General features: G+C 40.5%; 1 long non-coding RNA gene across 1 annotated transcript; it reads left to right on the top strand.

Annotated features, from left to right (window-relative positions):
* Positions 1 to 5,276: 5,276 nt before the first annotated feature.
* Positions 5,277 to 6,581, top strand: LOC105369511 (uncharacterized). Its single transcript, XR_948048.2, has 3 exons — positions 5,277 to 5,359; positions 5,884 to 5,954; positions 6,438 to 6,581. It is a non-coding gene; the product is annotated as an uncharacterized LOC105369511 (long non-coding RNA).

Raw genomic sequence — 20,896 nt, 5'->3', positions numbered from 1 at the left:
ATCTAATGATTTCACCTTCTACTGTGATCAAACATAATTGTATGGGAGTTTCAACTTTGTTCTTTGATATGGGAACACTGCTGCCCAGCACTGTTTTGCTCTTTACTATTGGTAGAGCAAGTGTGGAACTTACACATATAATGATTAAGATCCTACAGAACTATCTTGCGGCCTTTTGAGCACCCTATGTGTTTACATATTCATAACATACGTGTTTCTGTGTGGATGCAGGTAAATTCAAGAATGTATTATATGCATATGTTAAACCAAAAGCTAACTGAAGACAAGAAAGATATTCAGAAGCAGGTACATCTTCCCTGGGATGGTAATGCTCTTTCCCACAAATTGGCCCTTGGGAAATGGCAATTGCTTTGAATGGAGATTACCTTGTAAATGTTATTGTTTGCAGAATCTCATCTGCTGATTGAAATCACTATAATAATTTGGTATGAAGTCCATGAAGCTTCTGGAGCACCTCTTGCCAGCCTGTCCTTGACAGCATCATACCCTATGCACATCTCATGTTTCTTGGACAGAGTTTTTGATTACACTGATCCATTCTCCATTTTAAAAGAGCTTTTAGGAAAAAAAATTAATATTAATTTTATAACCCTAGCCATCTGGCCTGAAGGTAGTTTTTTTCTGATGAAGGAACATTTACAGCCCTTCTGTGGATGAGCTGGGCTCTCCTTTGCCAGCACTGTGCTTGGAAGCAGGGCACCAGGGCTGAGTCCCAATTCTGACACTTGCTAACTGTGTGACCTTGGCCAAATCACTTAACCAGTTATCTCATCTGAATCCCAGTTTCCCCCAGATAAAGAGAAACTCTAATGCCTTTCCATGTCTGAATACAGGCAGCTGAACCAGATCATTTTTAATGTCTCTTGCAGCTCAAAGATTTATGTTTCTGTGATACCCGAACACACTCTTTCACTCCTCTGTATCTCGAAAGCTCCTTTCTTCCTTATGTCTCTAGAGTTTGGGTTCCTTAAACATCCCAATCCTCCTCACAATGAGAGTTGGATATGAGCAAATCATAACCTCACAACTTGGATAAACAGAGAGAGCTGCACTTCTGGTGTCTTTTGTTTTGTTTTGTTTTTAATCTTAGTCTTGATTTAAAACAACAACAACAACAAAAAGAATGACAAAACAAGAGTGAGTTAGGCAGAATGGTGGCCCAATTATTTAGGTTCTTTAAAGACTCTGTAGCAATATTAAGTTAATGCAAAACTTGGTTCTCAAGGTCATGCTCCTGCACGGCTTAATAGGTAAAACTTTGACCCCTACCCAGGCCTTTGATTTTGGCCTGCACTCTGTTCCATGGGGAGGTGGTGGAAGGTTATTACATAAAAAGCTAGTATCCCAGAGAAATACAGTCCAGAACTTGTGATGCAGGTCAGGGTACAGTATCTGACTGCAATCAATATGCACTTAAATGTTTGGATCATCTAAACCTCCACTTAGCACAAAGGATCTCCAGAGAGAACTTTCTTCAGAGCAGAGAAATTACTATTCCAGAGCTGTGAGTCTTCTTGGCCCATTTGTGTTTCAAGGGAGATGCTGGTGAAAGGGGCAAAGGAGGTCTCTTTGGGATGAATTGGCTGAACAGTAAATAGTCTAGGAGATAAAGAGCCTTGACTCCAATTCTGGCCACCACTGCCGAGAACAACTTGGCCCAATTCCTAATTATTCTCTCTCACTTTCTGCCTCTGCAATGGGGGTAATTATTGAAATATGTTAACAAGGTGTGTTGAGATCATTGGATAGAAGACAAATATCATTTATACTCACAGATTTGACAGAGCTAGAAGAGAAAAAGCGTTAAAGTTCCAGCCACTCGTTGTTCTAATGCTGAAACTTCGAAAGAATGGAAAATGTCATCTGTTTACTTAATCTTTCGACTCCCAAACCTATTAATTCCAGAACAGGGTTCGCATTCCTTGTTTTAACCTTCAATGAGTCACAGTACAAAACTGGATTAGAACTAGAATCTTTTTCTTGTTACTTTACCAATTCCTTGAGAGAGACAAGAAACGGAAAGTAGAAAGAAGTGGGTAGACCCCAAGGATCATGGACTAAAATATGGGGATAGGGATGCAGAGCTAGACATGGGGTTGAAGGAAAGGAGAGATACTGGCTCTTGGTTAGGGAAGGAACAGAACAAAAAAAACAGATCCATAGCAAGATAGATGTGTATTGTAATTATTATAATACTTATATATGTCAATATAAGTATTATAATATTATTATGTAAGTATTATAATACTTATAGATGTCAATTCATATGTTTTCTTTCTTTTTTCTTTCTCTATTTCTTTTCTTTCTCTCTCTCCCTCCCTCCCCCATCCTTCCTTCCTTCCTTCCTCTCTCTCTCTCTCTCTCTCTCTCTCTCTCTCTCTCTCTCTTTCTCACAGTCTAGCTCTGTTTCCCAGGCTGGAATACAGTGGCATGATCTTGGCTCGCTGCAACCTCCACCTCATGGGCTCTAGCCATCCTCCCACCTCAGCCTCCTGAGTAGCTGGGACTACAGGTGCACACCACCATGCCCAGCTAATTTTTGTATTTTTTTTTTTTTTTTTGTAGAGACAGGGTTTCACCATGTTGCCCAGGCTGGTTTCAAACTGATGTGCTCAAGCAATCCATCCTCTTTGGCCTCCCAAAGTGCTGGGATTATGGGCATGAGCCACCATACCCAGCCTCATACATTTCCTTAAAGCAAGCCTAAATGATAAGGAAAAGATCTTTGACTGGGAATGAAACTTAATTATAGGCAATATCCCAGCTTAGAACAATGTTAGCGATGGGTGATTTTGAAAGACTAGCAGTAAATAAAAAGGACAGGCTAGAGACAAAGTCTTAAATTGTAAGAGAAGAGTTGGGTAAGACAGAGCTTATTGGTCTTGTTCAGAGATCGAATACCAGAACAAGCAACTGAAAGAGCTAGAAAATCTTCTACAAAAAATGTGGAAGTGAGATACCCTTTCCCGTGTGATTTGTATATGCTACTCCCTAGAGACTTAATACTTTACCAGATAACCTGCTGAGGTTTCTTGAAGGTCTAGAGTAAATAAAGGCAAGTCTTAGCTTAGCATAGAGATTAGTGAATTCTTTTGGTAGGTGCCTCTTGTTCCATCTATTCATCATTTGGAGTTTTAGGACACTTTCCCTCCACAAAAGTACTAAATGTATTTTTTACAAAAAAAAAATACTTAAATGTTAATGCGAAACCTGGGGTGGAAGGAGGATGTCAAATAGCTGAGCAATGCTCTGAAGGCACGATGTCTCTGCTGAAGGATTTGACCCCAGTAATCTAATTTGCTTTAAATTTGAAATGATCCTTCATTCTCTTATTATAAGGCTCCATGTCGTTGGCTCATAAAGATTACAATTTCTTTGCTTCCAATTGCAATAAATCCAATTCAAGCACCCTCTTGACTTGAAATTCGTCACAACACACAGAGGGCAATGCTCCCCTCATGTGCCTCTTGGGGAGGGCATTCTAGTCTCATCTGCTGGAGAGAGATGATGCAAGACTATAAAGTGAGGCTCTCTCTCTTCCCCTTTCTCCCCCCAACTTCAGTATAATCTGTGAAAAGAATACTGTGTCTAAATTATAGCTGATTCCTCATTATCCAGCAGTAAAAAGGTTAGGCGAGCCAGAAAGCCAGACTGACTGCAGCTTCACATTTTATCTTTCCGCTTGGGAACAGTTCAGTTTCTCAAATCCATTTGAAAACACTTCAGCTCATTCCATCCAATCTAGGGATTTTAACCTTTCTCTTCCTTTATTTTCTGTTCTTTTTTTTTAAACTGGCAGCTTAGAATTATAACTGACCAGCCTATATCCTGCATATCTGTCTATCTGTCTATTGATTAGTCATGGGTCTAGTGTCTTACAACAGAACTTGACTTTTGGATAACATTTGGTATTGATTCAAAGCTAAATTGGATAGATCTTTGAAGGACTTGGTTGTACTATTGAGGGGCTTTTGAGTGGTAAATCATCATAATAATTATAGCACTTGGTATGAACTTAGTAATCATAAGGCCTCTGGTACCCAAAGATGTCTTTTTGCCAACCAGTAACTATCTTGATATGAATGGGAAACTTGAGTTTCAAACTACCACAATTTGTTACTTTAATATGAGCTGGAGGAGGAGCCTGAAGATGGAGAGCAAAGGACAGGAATGAATGTGAGTCCTCTAGAGACAGTAACCCCAACCCATTTGGAACAGGTAAGTCTACAGGTATAATCTCTATTAACAAAAACGACACATCCCATAACTTCTATGTGATAAACATCATTACCAGAGCCGGGCACAGTAGTTTACACCTGTAATCCCAGCACTTTGGGAGCCCGAGGTGGATGGATCACCTGAGGTCAGGAGTTTGAGACCAGCCTGGCCAACGTGGTGAAACCCTGTTTCTACTAAACATACAACAAATTTAGCTGGGCATGGTGGCACATGTCTGTAATCCCAGCTACTCAGGAGGCTGAAACACAAGAATCACTTGAACCTGGGAGGCAAAGCTTGCAGTGAGCTGAGATCATACCCTGGCACTCCAGCCTGGGCAATAGAGTGAGACTTTGTCTTAAAAAAAAAAGAATCATTACCAGACATAGAAATACATGGGTAGTAGAAGGTGTGTGCCAAGATTCTAGGCAAAAAGGGTTATGACTAAAACAGTATTAAATAGTAGTCAAAATATAAAATGGTAACTAAAATAACTAAAGAAGGCATCAGGAAACTTAAACTGTCTTGTCTCCCTGGGAAAAACAGAAGGAAGGGGAAGAGCCAGATTAATGTGGTGGGAGGATTGGCAGAAGAGAAGAGAACCGACTTAACCCCCAGAGTGGTTCTCAATGTTGGCTATGCCTCAAAAGCATCAGTGGGGCTTTTAAGGAAACAGTTTCCTTCCCAGAGGCTCTGAGTTAGCTCTGAGGTGGGGTCCAGGGAAACTCATCCCACCAGGTATTGTGCTGCACATCCAGGGCTGGGAAGCACTGCATTAGCTGATATGTTTAATGAGAAGAACAATACCTTGCCCAAGTGGCATCTCCAGTGGCCAGTGTAGTGCCTGGCTCATATTATATATACAAAAATGTATACCTGAATGACTGACCAAATGACAGACTGACAAATGGAATGAATAAATAAGCATTTGTTAAGTGTCCTTGAAGTACAGGATCTGTCCTAGGAGCCTTATTTATAATATCGCTTATCATTCTCACTGTTTCCAGTGAGGAACATATTATTTCTATCTCAAAATCCAGGAACTCAAGACACAGAAAGGCCAAGTAATTTGTCCAACTTCATATGCTAGACTGGAAGAAGGAGCCCAGCCTCAAGTCAGGTAAGAAAGGGAGGGGAGGGGGCAGAGAGAAAGTCTGGAACCCTGATTGTTTCAAAATTTCTACAGAGGGGCTGCAGTCATGGCAATCTGGCTGGGTGGAGTTTGAGGACTGTCCTCAAATTCTGTTTGCAAGGAAAGCACATGGATTTTACCTATATTTTTACTTGGGGAAATTGAGAGGCTGTTCATGGAGATTCTGGGAGCCTCCCACACCCACCTCATCCTATCCGACACCCCACTAAGCCACTTGTCTGGAAGAAAGAATTTGACAGTTCCCAGCTCATTCGTCTAATATCTCGGGGAAACAGAAGATATCCCAGGGTTCTGTTAACTTCCCTCATTTCTCTCTGTCTGGCAGCTAATGCCTGAAATTTATGCTAATGAAGAAAAAGTTTTGGTTCCCATAATTAAATATGAAAGACTTAAAATACAGATGTGATTGTACATTGAAGCTCATTCATGCTAAAGTCAATCTACAAATAAGAGCAAATGACTGATAGCAGACACTTTCTTATTTTGAAAAGGAAAAGGAGGAAAGAGAACACCTGACATTTGCCACTGAGGTGGAATAAAGGAATCGTCTTCGTCTTTACAGGTTTGCCTGCGATGAGCCCTATTTACATTCAACTGGGAGGGGACAAATAGAAGCTGTGCTCAGAGGTATTTTTGTCATGGGCAGCTGTGAATACATGCAGCTTTTCTTCAAATGATTTATGAAGGGTTTTTTGTTTGCTTTTAAAATGTGGAATAAAAGAGCTTCATTCCCAGAGGCTTCATTAACTGAGGTACCACCATCCCCAAAGCTGTCTATAGAATCTGCAATGTGCTGGAATTATTCAAACGGGAGTCCAGGCCTGCAAATAAAGAGGCTCTAGATCAGGAAGCTCAGCTTTGCCCCCAGCAGGTGGGGGTCCTTGTGCAAGTCCCTTATTCTTTTGGTGCCTCATCTGTAGAACTAGAACAATTGCACCTGTGTTTGTGGAATATTTACCAAGTGTCAACATGTGAGGCGCTTTTCCTGCGTTATAGCCATTAATCGTCACATCACCACCATGAAGTATGCACTCTTATTTTTCAGTTTTAGAAATGAAGAAATGAATCTTAGAGAGCTTAAAGTGAGTCGTCCAAAGAAGCACAACTAGTAATTGGAAGATCGGTTATGTCAACTAAGGCCTATCTGACCTCAGAGTCCACTGCCTCAGACACACAATGTCATAATGAATGCTACTCCATGGAGGAAATTATGTGGATAAAGAGAAATGATCTGGCTAAGCATGTTTTGAACGGTTATAAATTCATATTCACATATGTTGTGATATATGCACATACGTATATATAAATGTAGATATACGAGATATATATGGATATATGGATATATAGATAGACCCCCATTTAGCACTGTCCCATGCAACCCAGATTAGTTCTAACATTATTTAGTTCTAAATCAATTTCTTGATACCAGTGGTTTTTAAAATGTGCCACTGAGGTCAGCAGTCAGTCTCGGCATCACTTGGGGACTTGGTAGATCAGAAATGCAGATTCTAGAGCCCCACCCCACACTACTGAATCAAGAACTCAGGGAGTAAGACTCAGTCTTCTGGTATTTTGTTGGGGTAGTGGAGGGAAGGGGCGCCGAGCTTCCATGTCCTCCCTTGGTGCACCACCCTCCAGGAACCTCCACATGTTTGGCTATCTAGAAGCTCCAGTCATCTGTGCTTTAACAAGCCCTCTGGATGATTCTGATGCATGTTCAAGTTTAAGAGGCACTGAGCACTGTTGAGCTAACATGGCAGACAGTCCATTCTCAGCCAGGAACTATAAAGGCACCAGACTGCAGTGCAGTCAGCCATTGAGCTCTTCATTGTCATATAAAGAAACCTATAGCTTCTCTTTTGTTATTTCATTTTGTATTCTGGCAACTGGTTTTGACTCTCAAAGACTAAAAAAATCGTGCACGTAATATGCCGGCTTTACCCCGGGGCAAAGAGGATGAGTATTAGGTTGAGTATTAAAACAAAGCCTTCCCAGAAAATCAAGGTGTGTTCAAAGAAATGGTCCAGAAAACAGGGAATTACAGATGAGTTGATACTTTTATGTTATGGAGGGCATGATAAGCATTAATGCCTCCTAGGACAACCGACCAGCATTTCTAGAAAGAACAGCAGAAAGACATTGGTTGAAGCCATGTCATGGCATCAGGGGATTTGAAGAAAACCGAAGAGGTATTACAGAGAACCCTACCATAAACATGATGCTAGATGGTGTGTGTGTGTGCACACATGTGGGCACATACCCATATTACTTACCATATCTTTGGCATATAACATGGACTTCAGAATTAGTCCAAGTTCCTAGTTGGTTTCCGGTTGGGTCTGCCACTTCCTAATGGTTACCTTGGGTAAACTACTTAATATTCCCAATCTACAGTTTCCTTATCTGGGGAATGTGGGTAATAATAGTATAACCCTAGTACAGAAAGTATTATTTTGATATAGCACTTAGCATAAACCCTGGCATGTACATGGTAATTGTTCAATAAATTTTAATTATTATCATTATACATAGTAGCCATATTGATATTGCTTCCTTAAACTAGGAAAGCTTCTTCAAAAAAAAGCGTTTTCAGGCTGGGTGTAATGGCTTGTGCCTATAATCCTAGTGCTTTGGGAGGCTGAGGTAGGAAGATGGCTTGAGGCCAGAAGTTCAAGACAAGCCTGGGCAACATAGCAACATCTTATCTCTACAAAACATTTTTAAAATAAGCTGGGCATGGTGGCTTACACCTATAGTCCCAGCTACACAGGAGGCTGGGGCAGGAGAATTGCTTGCAGCCAGGAGGTCAAGGCTGCAGTGAGCTGTGATCGTGCCTCTTTGCTCCAGCCTGGGCAACAGAACTAGACCCAGTCTCTTTAAAATAAATAAATAAATATGAATTTTCAGGTGAGTCCCCAAGGAGAGGAAGGCAGTACCTAATAGGATCCAAAAACAGCCTCAGAAGTTTTCACTTGAGCTTGTTCATGGCTGATGCTTGCCTTCTTTGTGAGAAGACCTCTTTTTTGTAATTGTTTCTTCCTAATCTTGTGGCTTGCTAAGCATGGCCCCTTCCTCAATTCCTTCATAGAGTCTTAACTAGTTGCCTTGCTAGAGTCTCCATTTCTTTCTTCCTTTCAAAGCTACCTCTTTCGAATTTTGTTTTGTCTCCACTTTCTTATCTCCACCTTTGGCTGTTTCCAATCATTTGGTCAGTAAGATCTCCTGGGATCTCTTTTGCAGTCTTCTGGATTCTTTTGATGGCATTTATGCATGTCTGCTGCAGTAGACAGTTATCCTCTGAAAGATTTTTCTTCTTTTCTGAAGGAAAGGCTGAGCTGGATTCTACTCACAGCACTTTGCTACTTGCTTGTTGTCCTTTCCATGCAGCTGCTGTGGCTTACTTCCTTGGCACTAAGCTAAGCCTTATTACAGCACAAACTCTAGTGCATTGTACACTGTAGGTGCTTAATGAATGCTTGTGGCTTGACTAGGCCATGTAGAAGGTTAACATTTTAATAGAAAGAAAAAAGAAGAGGTAGAGAGGTCAGCCCCTGAAATTGCAAAAGAATTTGGAAAGGAAGTGACACAGAGAAGAGGGTGTAAAGAAACAAAAAGAAGGAGACAGATGGCCTTTCCCAGTTTTTTTTTTTCATCACAGATAATGACCTGGAGAAGGGAATAAAGGGTGAGAAGACAATGCTAAGAGTCATAAAACTCTTGTCCAGATAATGACCTGGAGAGGGGAATATAGGGTGAGAAGACAATGCTAAGAGTCATAAAACTCTTGTCCAGAGCTGATCCTGCTTAAGGCCTCACCACCAGGATACCGGGTGGGATTCGTTACTTGGAAGCTCTCAATGTGGAATACCCCAGGCAAAAAATGCTGCAATAGGGCACACCTCCCAGGCTGGGGAGGGAAGGCAACCGCTCCTCGGTCTTCTGCCAGTGGTGTCTGGGCAGCTGGCATCCCCTCCCACCATGCTGTGTATTTACCCAACTTCAAAGACCAGGGCAGCCATCAAAGAGACGAAGAGGAAAGAGAGACAAGATTAACTTTCTCCCTCCCTACCTCTCCCTATCCCTCTTCTCCATGAGAAAGCCTCCATTTCCAAAATGCTAACTAGCAGCACACACTGTGATCAGATTTGTGTGTTTGCAGCAATAGACAGGAAGAAATTTTCAATCTAGGGCTGAGATATGACTTCCCCAGGCAGGTAGGGGTGAAGCTATTAGGACATGTTCCAAAGGGTGACCCTTAGGGACAAATCACTGCCAGGTTCCACAGCAAGAGGGCAATGGTGCTTTTTGTTTTGTTTCAAACTAAGGTTCTGAGAGTATCTGTTGGATTAGAATGGAACCTGTGGAGCACACAAAAAAGAAAGAAATCCATACACATACATGTTGAAGCTGGTTATACTTCATGTCAGCCTGGGTTATCTTAACGTGACATGAGAATAACAGACAAACGGAAAAAGGTGTTGAGAAAATATAGCACTGTGTAAAGGGCATGGGCTTTGTTTGAAGTGAGATAAATCTTTGCAAGTTGCTCTCACCTTTTTGAGCTGCAATTCCCTCATCCTAATAATAATAGTTGTTACAAGACTTAAATGAGATGTTTCATATAGAATAGTTCATAGTGAACACTCAATAAACATTAGTGTCTATATTTGCTTTCTTAAGGCTGCTATATCAAACACCACAAAGTCGGTGGCTTACAACAAGAGAAGTTTATTCTTTTGCAGTTCTGGAGACCAAAAATCTAAAATCAGCACCACTGGGCCAAAATCAAGGTGTCAGCAGAGCTGCTCAGCCTCCAGAGGCTCTATGGGAGAATTTGCTCTTTGCCTCTTCCAGCCTCTCATGGCTGCTGATATTTCTTGGTCTGTGGCCATGTCATTCCAATCTTCAAGGCCAGCATCTTTAAATCTCTGCTCCATCTTCACCATCTCTTCTGTGTCTGTGTGTATATCAAGTCTTCCTCTGCCTCCTTCTTATAAAGATAATTGTGATGGCACATAGAGCCCACCTGGATAGCCCATCACAAGATCCTTAACTTAATCACAGCTGCAAAAACTCCTTTTCCATACAAGGTAACATTCACAGGGGCCAGGAATTAGAAGCTGAATTTTTTTTGTGGGGGAAAAAGAGCATTATTCAGCCTGACACTGTGCGTGACCTTTGAGTTTTCAATGGCGGGAAGGAAGTGAGAAAAAGGCATGAAACAAGAAGGTACCTTTTTATATGAAGTGAAATTATATGCAAATTTAGCATCCAGTTTTTTCTTTTTCAGATTGACAATTCAGAATAACAAGGCAGCAATATAAGTAGGTATATTATTTGAATGTATACACGTAGTCTTGTTTTTTGAGATTTATTTGTATTTATTGTCAATTATGTCATATAAGATCTTTTGATTTTGTTAGTATAAGGTACATAAGCTGATTATTGATGTAATTAAATCTGTACCATAAGGAATTGTTTAAGGGGATTTTACTATATTTGCATAGCCTTTTCCTCTACCTATTAGAAGCTTCTCATATATAGCCTTGAGCTATAAGTTAACTTTTCACAAGATCTTGCCTCTTTAACTTGATTATAAATTATTTGAGATAATTTATAATTATCTCAACATGAGATAAGAGATCATGTCTTTACATCTTTGTAACTTTCTTGGTGCCTAACATAGTATATTGGTCATAAATATTTGCTTGACTGATTAATTTTAAAATACCCAGGAAGGCAATTGTAAAGAAAGATGAAGGCAGGTCCATTCAACATTTGAGCTTCATGAAGAGAGATATTGGGAAAAAAATATCTTAAACCTTGAGGGAGATATTGATGCTTCTCTCTCTTATTCCATACTTCTCAGCTCTGATTAAAATTTGTATACCTTTGTCAAAATGCATTTCAAACTAATGAAGAAAAAATAGTAATATAGCATTTGAATACAGATCCTATCTCTATTATTCCTTTTATCCAGTGAAGTAGTTTGACGATCTGGAACCCTTCAGCAAAAATTCAAATAATGTCCCTTTAACTTTTTTAGAATCGGAATAAGCCGATTTCAAATTTTTCTGCCAGAAAGGGCCTTTTATATGATACGCTTATCAGTGAGGGAAGAAAAGGGGGAGCTTCTAAAAAAAAAAAAAGATTATGCATTTAAGGCAAGCTAACACATTTCCTGGCACATAGTTTCTAAAAATATTAATTTATTCCTGTTCTCCTTTTTGCTTCTTTTCCCTTAATAATAAATAAGCTTAATTGTGAAGAGAATGAGCCACTAACCTTCAGAAAAATGATAATTCCTTCAAGAGTAGAGGGCTTAACTGAAATGCAAAATGCTTATAAATGATGGATTTTATAGTGGTCTAGACACCTAAAAAGACATCCAATAAAATTCCTGAAATAAAAAGACTGTTTATTAGTGAGTAGCGGGCTATGGTCATAGTCTTTCTACTGTGACTTCTAGGTGTCCATGAGTGTCCTTTCAGGGATTCTGAGTTTTTGAACTTTGCAGGAAAGGCTAGGGTCTAAGTGCTAAGCTACCTTAAGGTTGTATCTTTCCAGGGAGAAAGTGGATTTTTTTCTTTTTTGTGTGTTTATTTGCAATGCCTTTCAGAGTTGAAGAGCAATCTTTCAAAAATGATGAGAATATGGAATCGGCCACTGTAACCTGATTCGGCAAACCAGTTCCATTTGGGTGATTTTTAACCTGCCTCTGAGAAACAGAAATGGGCAGGTTGGAGTCTCCCCAGACCCCAGATAATTGAGTTGAACTGGTGTTGTGTACTAGATGGTTGTACATTAGCTTCAGCCCTCTTGCCCTCTGCAAAAACATCTCTTTTTCTCGATTATTTAAAATAAATAAATCAATGATATCATAAAAAAGGAAGAAGAAAACATTAGAAATAACCGCCCCTCTGCTTCTGCACGGAAAGCACAGTCTAAACCTCAGTGATTTTAAAGACAATTTTAGTGAAGGGAGAAAACCCATCTGTATGGCTCAGCAATTAATTTTGAACATTTGAAGATAAAAAGGCTGAGTTCCTTGGAACTGGCTTTAAAAGTCACAATCCATGGCAATCTGAGGTATTCATTGACTAGGGGCTCTTCTGTTTATTCCAAATACCCCTTTATCATTGGTTTTGAAAGAATATGGCTCTCTGTAAAGCACTGCCAATTGGGAAAAGAATCAGATAATGAAGAAGTGATTTTACTGTGATGACACCCCTTTAGGACCTCAGTAGGATTTCTTCTAAATCAAAAAACTTTGCTTTATTAGTGCATTCGATGGAGGAGGGGGAAAAGAAAAGCGGGGGGCTTTCCATTTTTCTTTTGCATCTTCATAACAAAACACATATTGAATAAAAGCCTCTGGATGAGCCACAATGTAAACCCAGAGGGTGGAAGAGATAATTTTGTAAATTGTAAATCAGAAATTCTATTTGCAGTAGATGCTGAACACATGTAATTTACCAGCGTAACATTGTTATCCTGAATATAAGTGTGATGGATACCTTGTAAGTTTGAGAAGAGGGGCAGAGTCATTTAAATATCAAGCATGCACAATGTTCCTGGGTTCTGTGGATATCAAATCTTAGCCTACTTGGGAGATTCTTTAGGAGCAGGACATTGATCCATTGGCACTGCTTCGAGACAGAACAGTGGACAAATGACCTGGGAGCCTCCCTTGGGCTTGCTTCATGATCAAACAGGTATTAAACTAGCATGGAGTGAGTTGGTGGCACCTGGTGCTAAGATGATCATGCTTTACAAAATGCATCTTTAGAAGACTAATATGCCAGACACCTTACCAACTTGGGATTGCTAACCCTTTCTAAGTTTGAATTGACTTCATGAGATTTTCTCTCCTTCACATTAGCAAGCAAAATATACTGTTCAGGTTGGCTGTGTGAACTGGGAAGCCAGGTAATTGACCCTGGTGGGAGGACATGAGTGGATGGCAGAGCAGAATAAGATCAATCCAAAGCCCCATGGAGTAGCTCTCCAAGAAGAGTAGTTAGCTCTAGGGTCCTGATCCTCAATTTCTCTTTCTCATCCTAGTGTGGTGAGCAGCCACTATATACCTTCCCCACTGGCAATGCTGTTTCTAGGCCACAGCTGACACAGACAAGAGGACCACTTCAGAGGAAAGATAAATAACAATTATTAGAAATCATAAGGGCTTTTTTTTTTGTAATTGGAGCCACAAACTCTACTAATTGCCTCTGAAACTATATGCTATTTACTGTATTTTATTAACTGCACTATAGGAGAGTATGCCCATTCTGTTTATTGGCATCTTGTAGATATATTGAGATTTTTGCATAAATGTGTTATTCATCACAGACCAAGCCACATAAATAAAATATATAGAAAGATATAGTACTGTAACCAAAGTCTTAGAGAAATAGCTTAGCAAGTGACAATGCTGTCAGTGAACATGAAAGACTGAAATTAAGCGTTGCTTTTCTTCAAAACATGATCTTTAAACAAACTGAACTTCAGTTCTTCACAGTCTGGGGACCGGTAAAAGAAGATATTCAAAGCACCACGTGGGGTTCCTGCTAGCTGATAGAGAGGCATCCTTGGAGAGCCAAAGTAACTTTTAAAAAAGAAAAAGACAGAACTTGCAATACTTAAATCTGCAAAAGAGTAAGATGATTATTCCTCTTCTGGAACCCTTTTGACAAACCCCTACATTTTCAAAGAGTTACATGGGATTTAGCGAGGCATTGATTTTAATGTGAGTTGCATTGCTAAACTACATGCAGTCCTTTGGAAATTTAGGGTTTGTTGTTCATTACAGAGTCAGACAATAGTCTGATTTATATTGACAGAGTTTGAAGAATGAAAAAATATAGACACTTTGGTGCAAAAATATAAATATCTAAGTTGCCCACTAGTCAGGCAGGGACAACCAGAAAGAAGGAAAAAACAAAAGTTGAATCTCCAGTTCAAAATGCAGTTGAAAAATTTAAGTTTCATTTGAAACCAGGGGAACAAGCATGAAAAGTTGGACAGGGCCATCATAAGGCCCCAGTGATTGGTTTTTGAGAACATTCTCCTAAAACGTTTTCCTGTTTGGGACGGCAAGATAAATTATTGAGACAATTTCTATTCAGAACTTGTCCTGTTTACAACCCATATTACAAAAAGTTATATTACCATTGTCATCTTTTAGCAGCATGAGTGATACAATCTCATATTCATAATATGGCTATTTTATATTTGCAGCTTTATGAAAATCTATAGATATCAATATCTGTTTTTTTAATGGATCTTGCTGAAATCCTGCTGCCTGGGAAGTTGTGCGGTACTGCTATGGAATTATCACAAAGCCTCATCTGACAATTATGATATCATATCAGGAATATATTACTTCTAAAGTATGGAAGAAAACTTTTACAGTATCATAACCAATCACATTTTAGTTTGGAAATAAAAACTAAGGTCTATATGTGATAATTAGTTGAGTTACCTCAGTTGCCACAATCCCTCTATCCCACCCAAGGCTGTCTGTCAGTGTCAATGAAATTGAATGTCAAATTGAAAAACTCTAAAGCTATTTCTTCCATATTAGAAAATCACTAGCAAACATATCTTCCTGCCCTACTGGGAGGGTAAGCAAAATTAGCACATATCCCTCTCCTTGTTTTGTCAAACTTTAATCAAACTGTTTATGTAGACTGTGAGGTGATCAAATACTAGACCTTAGCATAAGAAGATCTGATCTCTAATGCTAACCTTTGATAATCTTTGTGAAATATATTCATCAGACTTCTCTGTGAGCAGTTGGCATGGTTAATCTTTGCATCTTCCCTCTTTGGCTTCCTTCCTCTTTTCATTCTTTTCCTATCCCCATGTCCCTCCTTCTCAAGCTCCGTCCACTCCTTAAATAATTGGTGTTCATCATAGTGGTACCCCTAGCTTATTTTGTTTAAAGTCCTTCAATATATTCTATCTGGGTGAAACTCTCCTCCCCTCCTTCAAGTCCATGACTTCAATTTCTACCTACATGCTCTTGACTCCCAGCTAAGTTGTCTGGCTGAATATTTCAAAGGCATCTCAAAGCCTCCTTGCCCCAAGTTAAAATTATCTTCTTTCCAGCACCCATCCCCCAAACAAACAACAAACGATCAAACCAACCTTTCCCATGTGCCCATACCTGTCTTGGATGAATGACACCAACATCTACTCCAATGCTGCAAGTACAATTTTTTTTTTTTTTTGAGACAGTCTCACTGTGTTGCCCAGGCTGCTAGGCTGGAGTGCAGTGGTATGATCTTGGCTCACTGCAACCTCTGCTTCCCAGGTATCAAGCAAGTCTCAATTCTCGTGCCTCAGCCTCCCAAATAGATGGGATTACAGGCACGTGTCACCATGCCCGGATAATTTTTGCATTTTCAGTAGAGATGGGTTTCACCATGCTGGCCAGGCTGGTCTCAAACTCCTGCCCTCAAATGATCCACTGGCCTCAGCCTCCCAAAGTGCTGGGATTACAGGTGTGAGCTACTGCACCCAGACCAATGGGTTCTAATTACCTATAAATATTGAAACTTTTTAGCAGGTTAATCAAGACATTCTCTAGTCCCTGTGTATCTTTTCCAGCTTCCTTTCATGCCACTCATCCTCTGACAATCTGCCATCCGGCCATTCTATTTGTAATTTCTCAAATATACATGATGCTGTCCCAAGCTTTTGGGCCTTGTAAATGACTTCCCCTCTCGTCACACCTCCCCCCTGCCCCAATAATATCCCTCTCTAACTTGTGGACTCTTACTTAAATTCTAAGACTTGGCTCAAGAATTTCTCCTGTGTGAAAATGTTCTGAGACACACACATATTCATACTTGCCTCCGGAGTAGGTGCCTCCTTTTTGTGTTCACATAGAGCTGTGTGCACATATTGTAAAAACATTTATTACATATGATAGTTGTGGTGCACTTTGCCTCCCCTAACTATACTCTGAGTTCCTTGGCAGTAGCTACAGTTTTTCATTTGCCTTTGTATTCCCAAAATGTAACGGTGACTGCTCAGTGGAAGTACACCACAATGTTTTTTCTTTTACTGAATACGTATTTGGATCAGCCACATATATCTGGATATATTCCTAGATATTTGACTGGAAAAAACGATGACTTGAGTCCCAATGGAAAATTCCCTTCCATGGGAATTGGGGCTGCTCCTTGATCTGGTTCATGTGTGGTTTTTCTGCAACCTGCTTCAGTACTTTCCTTCAAATTGGTATTTGACTTTTGATATTCAAGAGTGTACAGTCAACTCTCTGACACTAGAAGAATAAACCTTTGGGTAAACTGTTTACACATTTAGAAATATGTATTTAGCTGGCTTCATATTTCATAAAGATTCATAGACTGATTGATACCCCTAAAGATGAGCTTCTTAATCTTAATCAAAGTATATAAGAGCTACTAAATGAGACCAATAGTCTATCTAGTCCAATATTCTAATATATTGCTAACTTACTTGAATGTATGGAATGCTTTTCTATCAAAAGCTGACATTTATGATACTTTTAATGCACCTTTTGAAAACGGCAGCTGAGGCTTAGTGATTGCTTTAGTCTGCTCAGGAGGATATAAGAAAATACTGTAGACTGGGTGGCTTAAAAAACAGAAATTTATTTTTGTGCTCTTCTGGGGGCTGGAAGGCACCATTGGGTTCTGATGAGGGCCCTCTTCCTGGCTTGCACAGGGCTGCCTTCTTGCTGTGTGATCACCTGGCCTTTCCTTGGTGCATGCTCACGGCAAGACAGAACTCTGGTATCTCTTGCTCTTCTTATAAGGACTTTGATCCCAGTATGGAGGCCCACCTTCATAATCTCATCTAAATCTAATTACCTCCCAAAGATCCCACTCCTAAACACCATCACATGGGGGGAGTTTAAGCTTCAACATATGAATTTTGGGGAGACACAAAACATTTAGTCCGTAATAGAGATTAAATCACTTTTCTATAGGTACTTAAATAATCCACCTGCGGGGCAAATGCTGACTCCAAATACTGTTTTCTTTTCCCTAATCATTTGTCTTTGTTGCTTTTTATACCTAGGTACTCAAATAATTAGTCCTTTACAAAGCGAGATGCTGCTAGTTCTCATTGATTGTCTCTGATGTATCCTCAAAACATGAATCATCTTTTAATGATCATTTTTCATATATGTTTATCCATGTTTCTTAACTGTTTTAGTGAAAGCAAACAATATAAGGTCTCTCTCTCTCTTGCTCTCACTCTTGCTCTTTAAAGTTTCTCACAACAACAAAAGGAAAAAAAGAAAAGGAAAACCTGGGCTCTTGGTGCTTCTGGCAATTATATTCAAACACAAGAAGCACCCAGATTGTAATTCTGATAAGTATTTCAGTTCTTTCTTGAAAAATTAAATTCACAAAACAATTGATTATCAGTTATAAATGGCAAAAACACCATCTGGTTTTCAAAATTGGTTAAATCCATGTAGCAAAGGGGAAAATTTTGGAACTTGTAGTTGGCGAGGAGTTCTAGTCCATGAAGCAGAAAATGACGAGCTTTACTATGAGAAAGCCAGAGTAGTCATAACTTGTACTTAGCGGCTGCGGGAATTTGATGCGTTCTTCACATGTTCCATATGTTAAATTGCTTGGCGAGATCTTCAGTGTGAAGGAGCTGGGGGTAGGAAAGGCGTGTGGCTAGTGGATAGACTAGAAACAGCTTAATCCTAAATTCTCTGCTCTGCTTCTTGCATGTAGACCCAGTCTAAATGTGCCCCAGGACTCAGTTTCTTTACCTGGGGAATTGTACGTGCAAGTTCCTTAACCTTATGGCACAGGGGACATTTTGGTGGAAATTTCTAAAGCTATTTGCATTCCTCTAGTGAGGTAAATCATACGACATTAGCATTTCCTACAGAAATGTCCCATGTTGTTCTTTGCCAACTGGAAATTTGAGTAGGTGTTCATTTGATGTGCCAAGAGAATGAAGGGAGATGAAAACACCCTACATCTTCCAATGTCCCCATACTGTGTTCCGAGTGTGGGAGGACTGGGGCCTGGCTAGATTCTCCTGGAGATTCAGCTTCATGAGGAATGTTTTTCCTTAGGAGTATACTGCAATTCTGTTAGTTAAAAAAAAAAATGTTTCTGGGTTGCTGGCATATTTTCATCTTATGTTAAAAATGTAGCTATCCTTTGCTTATTATTCATGCATTGTAATGTGAAATTTATTCATTCACTTTACGGATATTTAGAAAGGCACAGTGGTTAATTGCATAGGCTCTTTCTGCAAGTTAGAGACTGTAATCTTAGGGCAGTTACTTAATCTTTCTAATCATGTTTAAAAAATATAAAATGAAAGATAATAGTATGTACCTTGGGGATTGTTTCAAGTATTAAATGAGATTTTGCATGTAGAATACTTAAGAATTCAGTGAATGCAAGAGTAGTAATAATAGTAACGGCAGATAATAATGTTACTATGTGCCAGGCTCTGTGTCAGGATTCTTGCCATATAGGACCTGCCTTTATAGTTTACATATCACTTTCAGCATACATATGGCCTTACTTTTTTTTTTTTGAGACGGAGTTTCACTCTTGTCGCCCAGGCTGGAGTGCAATGATGCGATCTCAGCTCACTGCAACCTCCGCCTCCTGGGTTCAAGTGATCCTCCTGCCTGAGCCTCCTGAGTAGCTGGGATTACAGGTGTGTGTCATCACGCCTGGCTAATTTTTGTATTTTTATTAGAGACGGAGTTTCGCCGTGTTGGCCAGGTTGATCTCGAACTCCTGACCTCAGGTGATCCATCTGCCTCAACCTCCCAAAGTGCTGGGATTACAGGCATCAGTCAGCGTGCCCGGCTGGCCTTAACTTTTTTATTCCAATTTTGGTGGAACTTTGCTCTCTATTTGGTCCGACCCAGGTACCTCACTGCCAGAGGTAGTAAGAACGGGTAGGACTTTGCAGACTGGGCATTATCCTGGCACCCACGTGGCAATGGTTTCCTGTCTCCTGTAGTGCTGTTCTCCTGTTGGAGCTTTCCCCACTTCTGAAGGACTGCCTGCAGTTCATGCATCGGGGCCTGTAATTACAGAGCAGAATATCCAGGGCTGTGAAGACCGGGCAGTCTCGAAATTAGTTTATGCATAATGGATAATAGGAGGCTGTTTTTAAGTGTAACTCATTTGGTGGGTTGGCAGATCATGACTTCCTTTTTGATATGTATTATTTATTTATTTTATAGCAAGATGAGGACAGAAGGCTGGGGAAGTCATTTGGCGCAGCTCTTCTAGACTATAGCTCAGACTTAGCAATTTACATTCAGTAATCTCTTGGTCATTTAGCCACAGATAATTTGTCATGGTTTGTTTTAGCTGTTGTGATATTGATATTTATTATGCAAATTGTATTTCCTACATCTTATTGTTCTGCATTCTATGAATACTTAAATTATTATAAACCTTTACACTTAATATGGCTCGTCCTTCAATTTGATGCTTGAGCAACAGAGGGTCAGAGCGCACACGATCTTCTAGAGGGGAAGAAAATAAGTAATTAAAAAGCAGACAAACAAGAGAGCCGGCTGCCTGGCTGAAAAGAAAGCAAAGAGAATTTCGGGGAGGGAGAGTGAGTCCGGAGATGCAAGTCGCTTTAGCAGGAGAGGCTCTCCCAGAGACAGGGGAAGCTCGGAGCACCTGTTGGTCCCCAGCTTCCTTAGGAAGGGCTGGGGGCGCAGAGGAGGAGTGAGAGGGTTTGAGCCCCGAAGGAGGAACACGGCAGACCCTGCCTTCACCACACTCCCTCTCCCCAACTCCCACCACCCCCGCTCTTCACCTGAAGCCTTGACTAATTTTTTCCGTTGTTGTGTAATCTTAAATATCTAATATTACAAATATTTCACACATATATTCAACACACACCTATATATTAAAACCAGGGAGGAGACCCTCGACAAGCGGAGGAGCCTGAGCATACCCTCCTCGATCTACCTTTCCCGAGATTCTGCCGCAAAAAGACCGACTGGAAAATCTCAGAACCCGACTCTACGGCTGCCTTCTCCAACTATCCCCGAGTCTACCGCTAGGCTGTTGAGCGGGCTCTCCCGCTCCGCCGGACGTGCAAAGCACGCATGCACTTCTCCCAGATTGTTTTGTCAATCCGGGGACCTGCCTTCTTACTCTCCACTCCCGCACAGCCCCCGTTCCCAAAGATCTATTCCTTCGGTGCAAGGTGAGTGACGGAAATTTGCAACGTCTGGTTCGCTAGGCCAGATGCACTCGGTGTGCGGGACAGAGGACCCTCTTAAGGGAGATTCTCCAGTCGTCGGTCTGATACAGCGATTGCTATAAACATTCCTAATAAAGGTGTACAAGAAGCTAGACCCGCCCCCTGGAGCCCGAGTCCTTGCACGCCAGGCGCCCGGGAGAACACTTTTTCCTTGATCCGGGGAAAGCAAAACCCGAATTTTAACATAAACATATTTGCATACGCCCCTCCCCTTGGCCCCGCCCC

The sequence above is a fragment of the Homo sapiens genome, chromosome 11, assembly GCF_000001405.40.
Source record: "Homo sapiens chromosome 11, GRCh38.p14 Primary Assembly".
In the NCBI taxonomy this organism is placed as follows: Eukaryota; Metazoa; Chordata; class Mammalia; order Primates; family Hominidae; genus Homo; species Homo sapiens.
Note: the sequence above shows the minus strand (reverse complement) of the source record. Positions and strands in the feature narration are given on the sequence as shown.